The following is a 14,252-nucleotide window of genomic DNA, read 5'->3' as shown; positions in this document are numbered from 1 at the left end:
AAGAAGGGAAAAGGAGAGAATTTTCTTCCTACCTTGGATCAGGGACAGGATACAGCCTCTCTTAATTTTTTGGGTGGAATGTGTCATGTGCCTACACCAGAGACAATGCAGTTGCCTTGGAATTTCTGTAGCTTGCCTTTGGCCCTAGTGCCATGGAGACCAGACTTCAAACTGCTGAGCTCCACATTCTGCCCTGATGGAGCTGGGCTTGGTGCCCAGTAAAAGTACAGAGGATCCTTGTGCCATGACTGTTTGGCCAGCCCTAGTGCCAGGGGGCTGTCTGGCAGTGCTCATAGTTCTCTGGAGTGCAGCCAGGATCTGCCAGGCAGTCTGACTCCATCCAGAAGCTTCTCAACCAGATGAAGAAGTGATGTCTGTGATCTGCTTTGGGGAGGGACTTCTCAAGTAACTGTGACTTAAAATATACCCTGCCTGACTCAGAGGGGCACTGTCATCTTGGAATTCAAAGTAAATCAACAGTCTGTCACCTAAATGGAACAGAAACTATGTTGGTGATTATAAATTATAATCAAATTCATACAGTGATTAATAAAACAGCGTGGTAGTAGTCTGATCACCTTTATGGTGAATCTGGCTATTGACATGTTATAGCAATTGCTACCCCAAGACCTGTTCGTTAAACAGTGACCTTGAACTCGGCATTAATGTGGCACCTTTCCCCCTCTATACAAAACAAAACCAACAAACAAATAAGCAGTGCCGGGACAGGAATGGGTGATCAGAATTTAGTTATAGATGTAAAGACCTATGGAGAGTTTCTATTCAATGGGTATAGAGTTTCAGTCATGCAAGTTACAAAAGTTCTAGAGAACTGCTATATAACACTGTGCTTATAGTTAATGCTGTACTATACACTTATAAAATTTCTTAAGAGTAGGTCTCATTTATGTGCTACTTACTACAACTTTAAAAAATATGAAGGATATTCTTCCATGGGAAAAAAACCATGCCTTTATTTTAGCATCATATAACATAAAGCATAAGCTTTGAATCATAAGGGCTAAGCTTAAATGCCAGTGCAACCCCTTACAACGAGGAAGTTATTTAATCTCCCCGAGCCTGGTTTCTTCATCTGTGAAATGGGGATAATAACTTGTGCCTAGCAGGGTTGTTAGGAAGATTAAATGGGATGTACTTACGAAAGCAGATAGCCTAACACTTGGCCTAGAACTAGGACTCTTTGGGTTTAATGGCCTCCCCTTCATCACTGCAGGTTGTTTTATGCTAGTATGTTTATCTAGTTTAAAGGGAGGTATAATTCTGGTCTAACAGCCTAAAATATAAGTCGACCCTTTAGGTTCAACTCAGTTCTTACCTCCTCTTAATAATTACCATCTCCTGATTCTTAAAAACCCTTGTGAGTGGGCCCAGATCTCTTCAAGCTCCATTCCTGCCCATGATCCTGGTACTGAGAATGAAAATCATAGATGAACAGCCTTGAAACAGTCCCAGACTCCATGGCAGAAATAGTAGATGCTGTAGTTGCTATTTACACATGTGAAACAGCATAAAGTCTTGGAATGCAGATTATTGCTTCACTGATATTGTAAGACCTCATGATATTGTAAGACCTCAATTTTTATGTAGAAAAATTCAGGTTGCCCAATCTATGTGTTTTGTTAGGAAGTCTACTAGTCATGACATGTGGTAATTAAAACCAAAATTGTCAATTACTTTATTCACAAAAAGTTGTTTTGTACTATGCAACTTCATCCTAAAGATATTACAAATTATTCTTAAGCAGAGTATTGAAAAAAATAATTGCACCTAACACTTTCCCACAAAAACAATCCAGAGGAAAACAAAAACATTTGTCCCCAACCCCTATGAGGCTATTTTTTATATATCCCTTAAATAGATGAGAAATATCTTTCCAGTAAGTCATAGGAAATATTTGGATAGATTCATACATGGTGAAATATTTTCAGAAAGAATAGTAATGCCACAATATTAAAGGGAATAATAATTCAAATCCTCAATTGATTTTAATAAGATGCCTAGGCTACAGTTTATCATAGCAACAGTGCTAAAAATAAGCAATGAGGATACAAATTTTCTACTTTCATTAAAGAAAACACAGTGCATGGCCAAAGATGCTCAGAAGGAATAAATACACTGTGAAGAAGAAAATAACAGCAAAAAAAATCACAGTGTATGAATTTTTGTATCTCTACCTTACAGCTTCAGACCACAGGGAGTTAAAATAAATCCATGTTTTCGTATGTTTTACTGATACCACAAGCATTGACACACATCTGTTCAATCCTCCAGCAGCATTTTGGTGATGGAGCAGGTTAATGCATTTGACCCTAGGTCAGTCCTCACTCTCTGGAATTCTGAAGCTGTATTGGATTCTGGAAGGCATGCTGGGCGAGTCTATCTGGAAGCATATGTGCAAGCTGCTCGAACTACAGGGCAGCTTGGTAAAGAAAATCAAACCCACTATATATGCGCCAACTCTATTCAGAACCATGAACAGCACGGAGTAAACTATATTCACTTTAAGTCTGTTCTTTAGAGAAAATTTCTTGGGTTTCTAGAGAACACAGGTCAAAATGAGGCAACACCTCTGAGAAAAGAAGTATAGAAAGATGGTGCCAGGGCTGCATTTTAGTCCACTGGGTGTGGGCTGCCAGACCGTAGGAGGTGCTCTGGGGTCTCTCAACAAGTCAGAGCAGAGCCTCTGCTCTCACTGAGCCCACAGTCTACTTGGCAGTGACAAGAAAAACCAATCAACAAGGCAGGAACGGGTGGGTTTTAAGCTCAACCATGAAGGATTTAAAGAAGGTGGTGACTGACAAGGAGTAAGAAACAGGGATGAACAAATGCAGATAAAACAAGGTGTACTCCAGGGAATGGCTGGGGAATGAATGCATTCCCCAGTTGCTTTCATAAGTCAGTTGCATTCATTGTCTGCCTTACCCTCACCTCAGCTCTATGAAATCAGGATTATTATTCTCATTTTAGATATAAGGAAAATGAAATAGAAAGAAATTAAGTAGCTTGCTTCAGGTCATGCATATAGAAATTGACAGAGCTCAAATTCAAATCCAAAAATCTACTTATTTAAAACTCAGGACACTCTCTACCACCCTCTACCTTTTTGCAGGATGCATCTTGCGGTTTCCAAGACACCTCCACTGTTTTGAACATACAGGTGCCAACATATATTCAAACAAGAATCATCTGAAATAAGGATTCGGAAGAAGCACAATTTTGTGTAAACATATCTGAAATTTAAGAACCTTTAAATAATGGGTCATGTATATGGTCTCTGTCTACTCATTATAGACTTAATGCTAAGTAATTTAAAAAATGTACTAACAGATTAGAGATTCAACTAATAAAGGTTTATTTCCTAACATGTACAAAGAACCTGCAAAGATTACAGGAAGGAAGTAAAGAGAAGGAACTAGCTCTTGCTTCGTTGCTTTTGCCATAATGCCAGAAATACCAGAAAAGTAAAGATTCTTTGACCACCTACTTTAAATCATTTCTAAGGTAGTTAAAGATCATTACTTGTGCTTATGCAAAACTTTCCACTTTTGCAAATATATTACTATAATGTCAAATGACCTATGATTAAAAAACATTTTCACAGGCAGTTTTGCAAGAATAAAGAATATGTATTTCACTAATATAAATTAGTTTCAAGGTATACAGAATTTTTCTGGGATCAGAGAGTAAGGTTGTAGCAAAGTCAGGTAAGCATAGAGTTTAATTTAGTAATGATATGAGCTGTGCAATGCTCAGAGTTAAAGGGACCATGCTCAAATCCCTGATGCATCCTGCATGACAAATGTTTTCCTATCACACATGCTCATGTAAATTTGACACAAGCATACATCCATCACTACTTGATTCATTCACTCATTCATTCTGTAGGCAACTTGTCAATTTTGTCTAGGTGTCTAACACTATACAAATACTATGCAAAAATAAAATAAAAAGGTATAGTTCTGGTCTTAAAGAAGAAGGACTGAGGGAAATCATAAATATGGAATTATAATGCCATGTATAGAGACCAGTGATTGTTATTTATAAGCTATTTTGAGAGGTAGAGGGAAACCTAAAAACAGACAGAAGGTACCAGGGAAGGCTTCTTATGGTACATGCTTGAGCAAAATCTTAATGGTAAATACTAGTTATCCAATAAAGAGGGAACAATGTACTGTAGGGGAAAAATGTGTTATTCAGGGAAAACTGCATTGTCTACGGTACATTATTCCAGGAAATCTCATTCCAACCTTGCATTGAGCCATTTTACAAATCTGTAAGTTGTCAATAGCCATTAGCAATGCAAAAAATAATATTCCTATAGAAATGCAACATTCTGTCTGACAGGATTTCAATTGGCTTCCTTTTTCCACCATGGCCCAGGCCAGTTTTCCTTCAATTTTCACATTTTTTTCAATATTCCTAATCTATAATTAAGTCTGTTCTTTGAATTCTCCTTTGAACTTACAACATCTTATTGGTTCCTACATTAATGAGTTAAATATTTAATATGTGTTCATTTTATATCAGCATGAGGGTCATTATTTTACTTGGTTTTAAAAATGATTCTTTAACATTTACTTTTGGAATTTACTTTAGTTACACATTCCAGAATGAAGACACTGTAAGGACAAATGAGGATCTATAAGGGGCATCATGTGCCCTGGAAACTACTTAGGCCTTGGAGAATAAAAGATGATCCCATTAATATGGTTGAGATTTTATTCTCCATTGCAAGCCAATGTAGTCTCCAAACTGTCAAAGAAAGAGACATCAAAGTTAACGCACAATGTGCTATTATCATCCTTAAAATATATTAAATAACTTTCTTATAAAATGAGAACTATAATGATATAGTTCTCATAGAATTAAAGAATTTCCAGTGTCAAATATGATTTCAATATGTTTCAATTCTGCTTAACTTATCATTATTCTGATCTGGTGTGAATATAGTCTTCAAATATTGAAGATTATGAGTCTCCATAATGAGAATTTTCTACTCTTAGGAAGAATGAAGATCTATCTGTTCCCTCCATTGCATTTAAAAAATAGCATACCAGCACAAGGCATTGTTAACTGAAGCAGCATTAGAAAAAACAACAACAACAACAACAAACCAGGAACCAAGAGAGGCCTGAGAGGGAAAAAACTTCCTTTGTACTTTTAAATACTTTTAATCTCTCTTTTCTAGTTAGAGAATCAAAGTTTTCTTCAGTATTCTTAAAATGAATGCTAAGCTAGCTTTCTTAGGGAGAATAATAACTTCTCATTGTCTTATAATAAATGAAGTTTGCAGGTCCATCAACAGAAGAGTAACATCATGACTCTTAAACAGAAGCATATAATTAACACATTTTTATCAAAACAGTGATTGGAAATAAAAAAAAAAAAAAGAATCAAACAAGATAAAAGTCAAAATACCCCATAACCAATATTTAAAAGATTTGATATCAATGCTGGGGTCATGGCTTTCTACTTCTCCTAACAAGGAACAGCAACTGCCTGACTCCTGAATGGCCCACTGCTTGGTCAGCCCACATGAAGGTGGTGTGAAGGGGTGGCTTGGAGGTGAAAAAATTATTGATGTGCTTTATGATTCTGAAAATTAAGGGCTAAAGCAAATCTTTTCTAAATGCTGCATCCATAGAAATGGCCAAAGTCTACTTGTGGGGAAGGAAGTGGCAAGGCCATATACTTAAATGATGAAATGGACTTATGGGGGCCAAGCAGGACACTATGAGAAATTAATAAGGACTAAAGATCAATGCTTAAAGAGAGCTGAAGAATTGTCAATGATCAAGAAGTGCGTTTGTTTATTGGATGCAGGAGGACTATCACTGTTATTATTAAGAATTTACTTTTGTTACATATGTGGCAGGCATTAGGCACTTTCAACCACAGGATATCATGTGGTTTTCAATTCCTTTTGTTAAAAAAAGAATTTTTTTAGAAAAATACAATAATATGTTAGCATTGCTTACTTATAAACCATGTACAGTGAAATTGATTTCTATTTCATTCGATAAGTGCAGGCACTTGGATAATCAAGTAATTTCTATCTGTATAACCTTGAAATTATTAGCAGTAACTAAGGATAAAGAGTTAGAATATTATAATTAAAGGTTGAAAGAGGCATAGCTAACTTGTAAAGTATTAACCCTGACAGATGCTTTCTAGAGAGTATCCACTTTACAACACTCATTCAGATATTTAATTAAAATCCCTGGTCCACCTAACACAGGTTCGTGGGAATAACAGTGCTTCATTATCCAATGTGACTTAGCACTAATAGATGTGTGCACTCAGTTGAAACAACCATACCTAAAATAATGTGACATTAAAGAGCACCGATGAAACTTTATATATAAATGGGACGGGTCTTCTATGACAGGTACTGTAAAATGTTTTACGGATAATGAATGTGGCTGGGAAAATGCTTTCTTCACATATGTGAAGATCCATGTGTTTCAGGTTATTTAAAAGTTATTTAATACTTGAATATCTAGATAATAACTTTGATTTTATAATCAGGTATTTTGGGAGGTTTTCTAAATTCCAATAATTATTTCTACCTTTACCTAAAATGCAACCTATCTCTAATCAGGTAATCTCCTTGCTTCAATTCCTTCAAGAACTCCCCATTCCTAGTGAATTGAGCTCATTACTCTGAACGTTGTTTTAAACCTTCTTGGTTCTTGCACAACCTATTTTTTGCAAACTTGTCCTTCATTTATTTCTTTTATATTCATTTTCTCCTTCCTGCCCTCATTCCCCCAACTTGACAGTGGAGGTCCCTTTTTTTTTTTTCCAAATTAGACATTTCTGTTGGGAAGTGCATAATTCCAAAAAGGAAAACGAAATGGAAAATCAAGTCTTGATCATATCCTCCATTAAAGTGCTGAGTAGCTCTCTCACTCCGTAGAGTGAGTTTTGGTATGAATCACGTTTTCTCCCTGAGGTACATCTGACTTTCTATTTAGTCTCCTTCACTTATTAGACTTCCATCTACATGTCTTATGTGTAACTACTGCATAAGCCAGGCGCACTAACTCCCTCACTTGAAGATAAACATAAAATCAAGTTACATAACTGACCCAGAGGTTTGTATAGAGAGTTGTGTTACGTCTGTTTCCTGAATTCTCTCCTTACTTCCACCATTCATTGAATTGGATCATGGTTATTAACATTATCACCACTTCACCCACTGTGATGTTTCCTCATTAAGGAGACAAGCAAAGATCTGGTGGAGCTCAACAGCCTTATTCATATCTCATTAAGTAAGAATCTCTCCTGATATTTCTCTATGGGACATTTTTGGCTGCCCTCCCAAAGGTGTCATTGTTTATGGAGAATGATCAGCCTCAAGCCAAAGACTTGAGTAGAAAGCTGCTCTGATCCTCTTCTAATCACAAAAATCACCCATGCCAAGAGCGAGCAATTAATGTAACTGTAAATCCTGTCAGAGTTCCCCTTACGATTTCAACTCGTATTTGTGACTGCGGGCTGTTTTGTCAAAGGGGACATTTGTTAGACAGGTTGTTTGCCAACATGAGGGAGGCTTTCTTATACTTTAGGTGATTCTATTATTCCCTAAGGCCAATTATAATTCCTCTTGAGATGGTAAAAGTTCCCTTTAGATAATCAAGTAAGCCATTCAAAATGCCAAAATGTCCCAAACTCCTAATTAGCTCATTAGAGGTAAACATTAATTAATCATTCTGGTGAGTTTAGGTAAAGGTTACCATCTTCACTGCAGGGCTCCTGGGAACCCTCAATGTAAGAAAGCATTAACCCACAAATCAGAACATTCTCAATGAAGTCCATCAAAAATATAAATCAATAGAAACTGTTTTTAACTCCCAACTAGTGTGCTGGAAGACGAACTTGTTTAATTGTATTTGTGTAAAATGTTGTAGTAGTGACACATAATGAAATCGTTCAAGCTGGTCACCCTTGGAGACGCCAGCAGATAATACAGCAAGGCAGGTGAGATCCCAGGAAGATGTTGGGTTGACAGCTTTGAATCAGCACATCTTTCAACTATCATATTGCAAGATAACCACAACCATTAATATAACAGGTATCACTTATTAATCCCTTACTACATGCCAAACACTTTATATATGTATACATGATTTAATTTAATCCCATTCACTTTGGGAAACTGGCATATTTATGTCTATTTTTACAAAGGAAGGAATACTTCTTCAGAGAAAAGTTAACTAAATTTCTCCACAGCACACAGCCAATGGTGGTAACGATGGGTATCAGAGTTTATTTGATTCTTTTTTTTATTTTGAGATGCAGTCTCTCTCTGTTGCCCAGGCTGGAATGCAGTGATGCGATCTCTGATCACTGCAACCTCCACCTCCCAGGTTAAAGCAATTCTCCTGCCTCAGCCTCCCGAGCAGCTGGGATTACAAGCGCCCACGACCATGCCTGGCTAATTTTTCTATTTTTAGTAAAAACGGGGTTTTACCATGTTGGCCAGTCTGGTCTCAAACTCCTGACCTCAGGTGATCCATCTGCCTCAGCCTCCCAAAGTGCTAGGATTACAGGTGTGAGCCACCGCACCTGGACACATAGTTTTTTGATTCTGATGACTTTTCAACATCGCACCAAACCGTGCTGATTCTCAGCAGTTATGAAAGTATTTGTGAGTGAGCTCCACATAAATCCTTACGGGGTGAGCATATTTCTTAGTTATTTTGTGCTTTATGTAAGTATAGCCAAGGTTCATACAATACATCCAGGAACTGAGGCATCCTTTTCCTTCCATCAGGGAAGCCAAAAACAGAAGCAGATTTCTATAACAATAAGCACCCCAGAGTGAGGGTTTGTATAAGTAAAGATGTGTGCTGATCTGAGGGCAGAATGTTGCTTTGCACTGTGGAACTGCCAGGTCAGAGAAGCCCAAAGCGTTTCTATCATTCAATTTGGCCAAAGTGAAAAACAGGAATATTTTTCACATCCATTCAACAAGCAACTACTAAGTACCTCATATGTGAGGATCATCCTGGCTCAACAGGATGGCAATTTTAGGTATTAAGAAGTGTCGCAATAAGAACTTTAAGTTTATATATTTTTCTTCCCCAATGAGAGTGAGACTATTGAAGAGCAGAAGGCAACAAACGAGGCAACAAAGTATATAAGTTAGGAATGCATTTGAACTCAAGTAGCAGAAATTTTGACTTCTAATGGGGGTTTTTGTTTTGTTTTGTTTTGTTTTTTCCTCCTATGACCAGAAGTCTGGAAGCAGGCAGAAATTCAGTGTTTCCTAGGCATGGTGTCATCTCTTGTTCATGTTTACAAGATAATCATTGCAGTTCCAGACATTGCATCCATGTTTAAGGCCAGTAGAAAAAAGCAGGAAGAGGTAGTACTTCAGAATTTCACTTACTACTCTTCTTACTTACTTCCTACTATTCTACTTACTACTACTCATATGAGAATCCCCACTCTAATGGAAGTTGAGAAAAATATTCCCAGCAGTTAATAATACAACCCAGCCAAAAAGAGTGCAGTGGGCAGTGAGTAGTGGATGGGACAAAAGAGTCAAGTCTGCATTGCTTGCACAACCCGGATCTGAGTAAAGTCTGTGACTAACTTGTTTCCTGACTATTCTGCTCTCCACCTCCTGTCTTTGTCTCTTCTCTGGGAGTTTACCTTCAGTCCCTCAATGTGTGGGTACAGTTATTTGGTTGGAGCCTCTATCAGTTTGCCTCTTTTCAGAATCCCACACTGAAGAGAGACTGCAATCCCCTCACCTACCCATGGGCTCCAAAGCAGTGTGTCATTGACATCAGCTCAGGTTCAACCTGATGGCAAGACCTGATGCCAAGTATGCAGTTAATTTTGAGTTTTGAATTGAGAAACACTCAAGAAAATGAGCAAGGGCACACCAATATCCAAGCAGCATTTAAATGTGCTTTGTAGCTAATAGTTTCCTCATATTATGCTTTAATGCACAGGAAGAAAATTATCTGATTTGACAGAACCATCGTTTCTAAATTTTTGAAGACGAGTTCAGTTAATAAGCCTTAAATTCATTCTTTCAAACATAGTTAAAAATTATTTCCCTGGAGAAGAAAAAAACTCAGAATAACATAAGGGTCTAAAGTAGGCCATGTAAACAGTTCCCCCTACAGTTTTCAAGACAAGGATGGCTTCACTTACCACCAAAAGGCTGGGGAAATTAAAGCCCATAATTTGAATAGAAGAACACTGACATTTACCTTTCTGTAATATTCCCTTTACTTATACTTTGCTTAGTTTTCTAAAGCATATTCCTATGTAAAATGTGTATAAGGAGACAGTATTTTGGTTATTTCAATTATTGCATGATTTACAAATTTTCCAAAGACTATTCTACTGAATAAACCCAAAGGATGCCCAGAAAATAAAGGATGCCTAGAAAATTGATTTGACAAAAAGTTTCATGTTGTTCACTTATTCTTGTGAAAACTACCTTATTTAAAATCATTAGCTGCCCCCATGAATTAACAGAAATAATAGCATTAAACAGGTGATTGATAATTAGATTAGAGCATTATTATCATTAAGGCAAGCAAACATATATAAAAATGAAAAGCCAAGAAATAATACAAGATGACTTTCACCTTTCTGCTTGGGAACAACAGCTTTTTTTGCCTAGGAAGAGGCAAAAATCTATTCTAGTTTTCTGTAATAAACCTTAAAGTTATTATGAAAATGATGACAGTATTCACTGAACTTGCAAAAACTCTTCTTAATCACAGGCCTTGCTCTTTTTCAGAAATAAGAAGGTTTCCAAAAACCTTCAGACAAACAAACAAACAAACAGACAAACAGACAGACAAAATTCAAACACACCCACACAAAAATCCACACAAAAAAATTTACCAAATAATGAAATCAGAAATTATAGGTAATATATAAATTGGAGCATAAAAATACATTACCAAAATAGTCAATACTAACAGCCAATATTATTGCTGTGATTAAGAATCAAATTTGGCTCTGAGTTTCCAAGCAGACAAGCAATTCCCGAAACATCATCAGTAACACGTATCAGAAGCAAGATAAACCTGAAGAGCACTTTAGCTTTTTCTAGCACTCCATCTTTTATAATGCATCCTTTGTGTATTGGAATGTCAGTGTTATACAAAACAGTGTCCATAACAATATTTTCACAACCAATTTATTAAAATATTTTATATTTTATATGGCCCTTTCTTATAATGGTTCTGTAATGACAGCTCAAGGCAGGTGATTTTGCAAGGGGATACACCAGTGTACACGTAACTAACCTGTGGTATCCCAATTGACTCAGAATCCTTGTTTACAGCAGAGATCTTAAAGCTAGTATTGTTATGGGGTCTTTTCATTTGCTTTGGAAAGGAAAAACTAGAAAAAATTGCTCTAAAAGACTCCAATATAAGGACCAAATGGGAGTTAAATTATCTTCTTCCTCTTATAAGGGCTTGATTATTTTCTGGAACCCACATGCCAAGATGAGGACTACAGTGATTTCCCCCTGTTGTATATGCTTGTTTGCTCAGGTGACATGTGGATGGAGCAGGGGCAGGGCTGTCTATGACTGAACAGGATTGGAAGTCAGAGCAAAGAGGAAAGTTTTCAAGGGTGCTATATAATCTCACCAGCTCAGCTATCAAAACAAAACAAAACAAAAAACTATCCAAAATAAGTAAGTAAATAGACGATATAAACCCAAAACAAGCTATTTACAAAGAAGAATTAGAAGTTGCCAATATGCTCATTAAATAATTTTGGATTCTCTTAGTAACCTAAGAAATATAAATTCCAACAAAAATAAAGTATGTTTTCTCACTCGTCAACCAAAACAAAACTTAAAATCTTAATTTTAGTATTGGTAAGGTTGCAGGGAACAGGCAGTCCCTGCTAAGGGAAACACAAATGGAAAATACAAACTTCCTGGAAGGAAAGTTTATTATAAATATGAAAAAATCTTAAAATATTTATGTCCTTTGACCAGCATTTCTCTATTAAGAAATGATCCTAAACTAATTATCTCAGGCATATGCACATGTAAACATACTATTATTTATAAGAAAAAATATTATAAATTACTCATGTTCCAAAGTAGAACACATGTTAAAACTTTTTTAAAAAACTAAAACATATACACTACAATCTATATTATATTCAAATATACGTACATGGAAAAAAGTCAGATATGGCTAGAGTATTTCTTATATATATTTCTTATATTTCTTTATATCAAAGTGTAAGATATAAAATATTAATAAGATATTTAATATTATAAGAAATATATGAAGTATTCCACATTTTTTACCTGTGAATTTAAGTTAGAAATAGATTTTTCAATATTAATTTAAAAAATAAGAAACAATTTCTTCTTAATTATTTGAAATGACATAAAAACTACAGTTTACTTTCAGAACACTCTAAATTTTTTCAAAGAGTGCTGGAAACTTTCTTGCAAAACATATTTATCAGATCCTTATAAATCACAACATGTTCAACTGATTCACTTAGCACTGAACAGATTGAAGGATGCTGTGCTCCAGCCTCAGGCTGATCAAGGAAGCTCCAAATTACAGTAATTACAAATTTAACCTCTCAAATAAATTATGATGTGGAATGAGGAAGACGGTTTTGTCTAAAAGGCTTTGAGAAGATACTGGGAGGGCTACAAGTATGATTCAATCGTATACTCCTGAACACAGTTGAATCACTGAATTTAATGTAGGAAGGGGGTTAGAAATGATCTACTTCTCAATCTTTTCCGCATTTTTTCAGTGAGTGCACTCCATTCCAGACACGTAGAGTGAATGGCTACCTGAGGAGACCAAGTCCTAGCTGGGACTGAATCAGTCCCTGGATCTCAGTCTAGTGCTCATTCTACACACCTTGAATTCAGCTTTATTATCTCGGTTAACCCACTTATACATAAGTTTTGTGACAACAGTTCCATAAGCACTATCTTAGGCAGCACTGTTTAACAGAAATATAATGAAAACCACATGTAAACTTTTAAATTTTCTGGTAGCCATGTGAAATAAAGGAAAAAGAAACAGGTGAAATTAATATTAATTATTAATAAGATATTTTCTTTAACCCACTGTATAAAGGTTTTCCAAAATTAGTAGAAGAAAAGAAATAATAAAGATCAGAGCAGAAAAAATGAAATTAAGGATACAAAAATAACAAAAGATCAACAAATACAACTTGTTATTTTGCAAAGATGAACAAAATCAACAAACCCTTAGCTACACGAATTAAGAAAACAAGACTCAATTCAATGAAACCAGAGGAAAAGGGGAGATACTAAAACTGATACCACAGAAATTCAGAGACTCACTAGAGGATATTCTGAACAACCATAAGCCAACAAATTGAAAAACCTAAAAAAATGTGGATAAATTCCTGCACACATACAACCTACCAAGATTGAACAATGAAGAAATAGAAAACCTCAACAAGCCAATAATAAGTAATGAGAGTGAAGCTACAATTAAAAGTCTCACATCAAAGAAAAGCCCAAGACCTGATAGATTCACTGCTGAATTCCACAAAACATTTAAAGAAGAAGCAATAACAATTCTACTTAAACTATTCCAAAAAGTTGAAGAGAAGGGGAACTTTCAAACTCATTCTATGGGCCCATCATTACCCTGATACCAAAACCAGACACAGACACAACAAAAGAAGGAAACTACAAGCCAATACTCCTGATGGACATGGATGCAAAAATCCTCAACAAAATTCCATCATGCAAGTTCAATAACACGTTAAAAAAATTGACTTGCCATAATCAAATGGGATTTATCCTAGGGATACAAGGATGGTTCAACCTAAGTAAATTAATAAACATGATACATGACATTAACAGAATCAAGAACAAAAGCCATATGATCATAGCTGCTGAAAAAGCATTCCATTACATTCAACATCCATTTATGATGAAAACTCTCAACAAATTGTGTACAGAAGAAACATATCTCAAAATAATAAAGACCACTTATAAAAATCCCATAGTTAACATCTTACTGAATAGGGAAAAATTGCAAGCCTTTCCTATAAGATCTGGAACAAGACAAGGATACCTGCCATCACCACTTTTATTCAACATAGCACCAGAAGTTCCAGCCAGCACAATTGGGCAAGGGAAAGAAATAAAGGACACCCAAATTGTGAAAAAAGAAATGAAATTATCCTTGTTCACACATGATATTATATTTAGACAAACT

At 35.9% G+C, this 14,252-nt stretch overlaps 1 protein-coding gene and 1 long non-coding RNA gene across 25 annotated transcripts in view; both read right to left on the bottom strand.

Annotated features, from left to right (window-relative positions):
• LOC124902472 (uncharacterized) overlaps nt 1-13,595 on the bottom strand; it is a 31,126-nt gene extending 17,531 nt beyond the window's left edge. Inside the window, exon 1 of the long non-coding RNA XR_007062219.1 lies at nt 33-13,595. This is a non-coding gene — a long non-coding RNA (uncharacterized LOC124902472). The remainder of the gene's footprint in view (nt 1-32) is intronic.
• The window catches only part of NRG3 (neuregulin 3), a 1,111,986-nt gene that overhangs the window by 949,655 nt on the left and 148,079 nt on the right, over nt 1-14,252 (bottom strand). The gene's annotated exons all lie outside the window — the stretch shown is intronic.

The sequence above is a fragment of the Homo sapiens genome, chromosome 10 (genome assembly GCF_000001405.40).
Source record: "Homo sapiens chromosome 10, GRCh38.p14 Primary Assembly".
In the NCBI taxonomy this organism is placed as follows: domain Eukaryota; kingdom Metazoa; phylum Chordata; class Mammalia; order Primates; family Hominidae; genus Homo; species Homo sapiens.
Note: the sequence above shows the minus strand (reverse complement) of the source record. Positions and strands in the feature narration are given on the sequence as shown.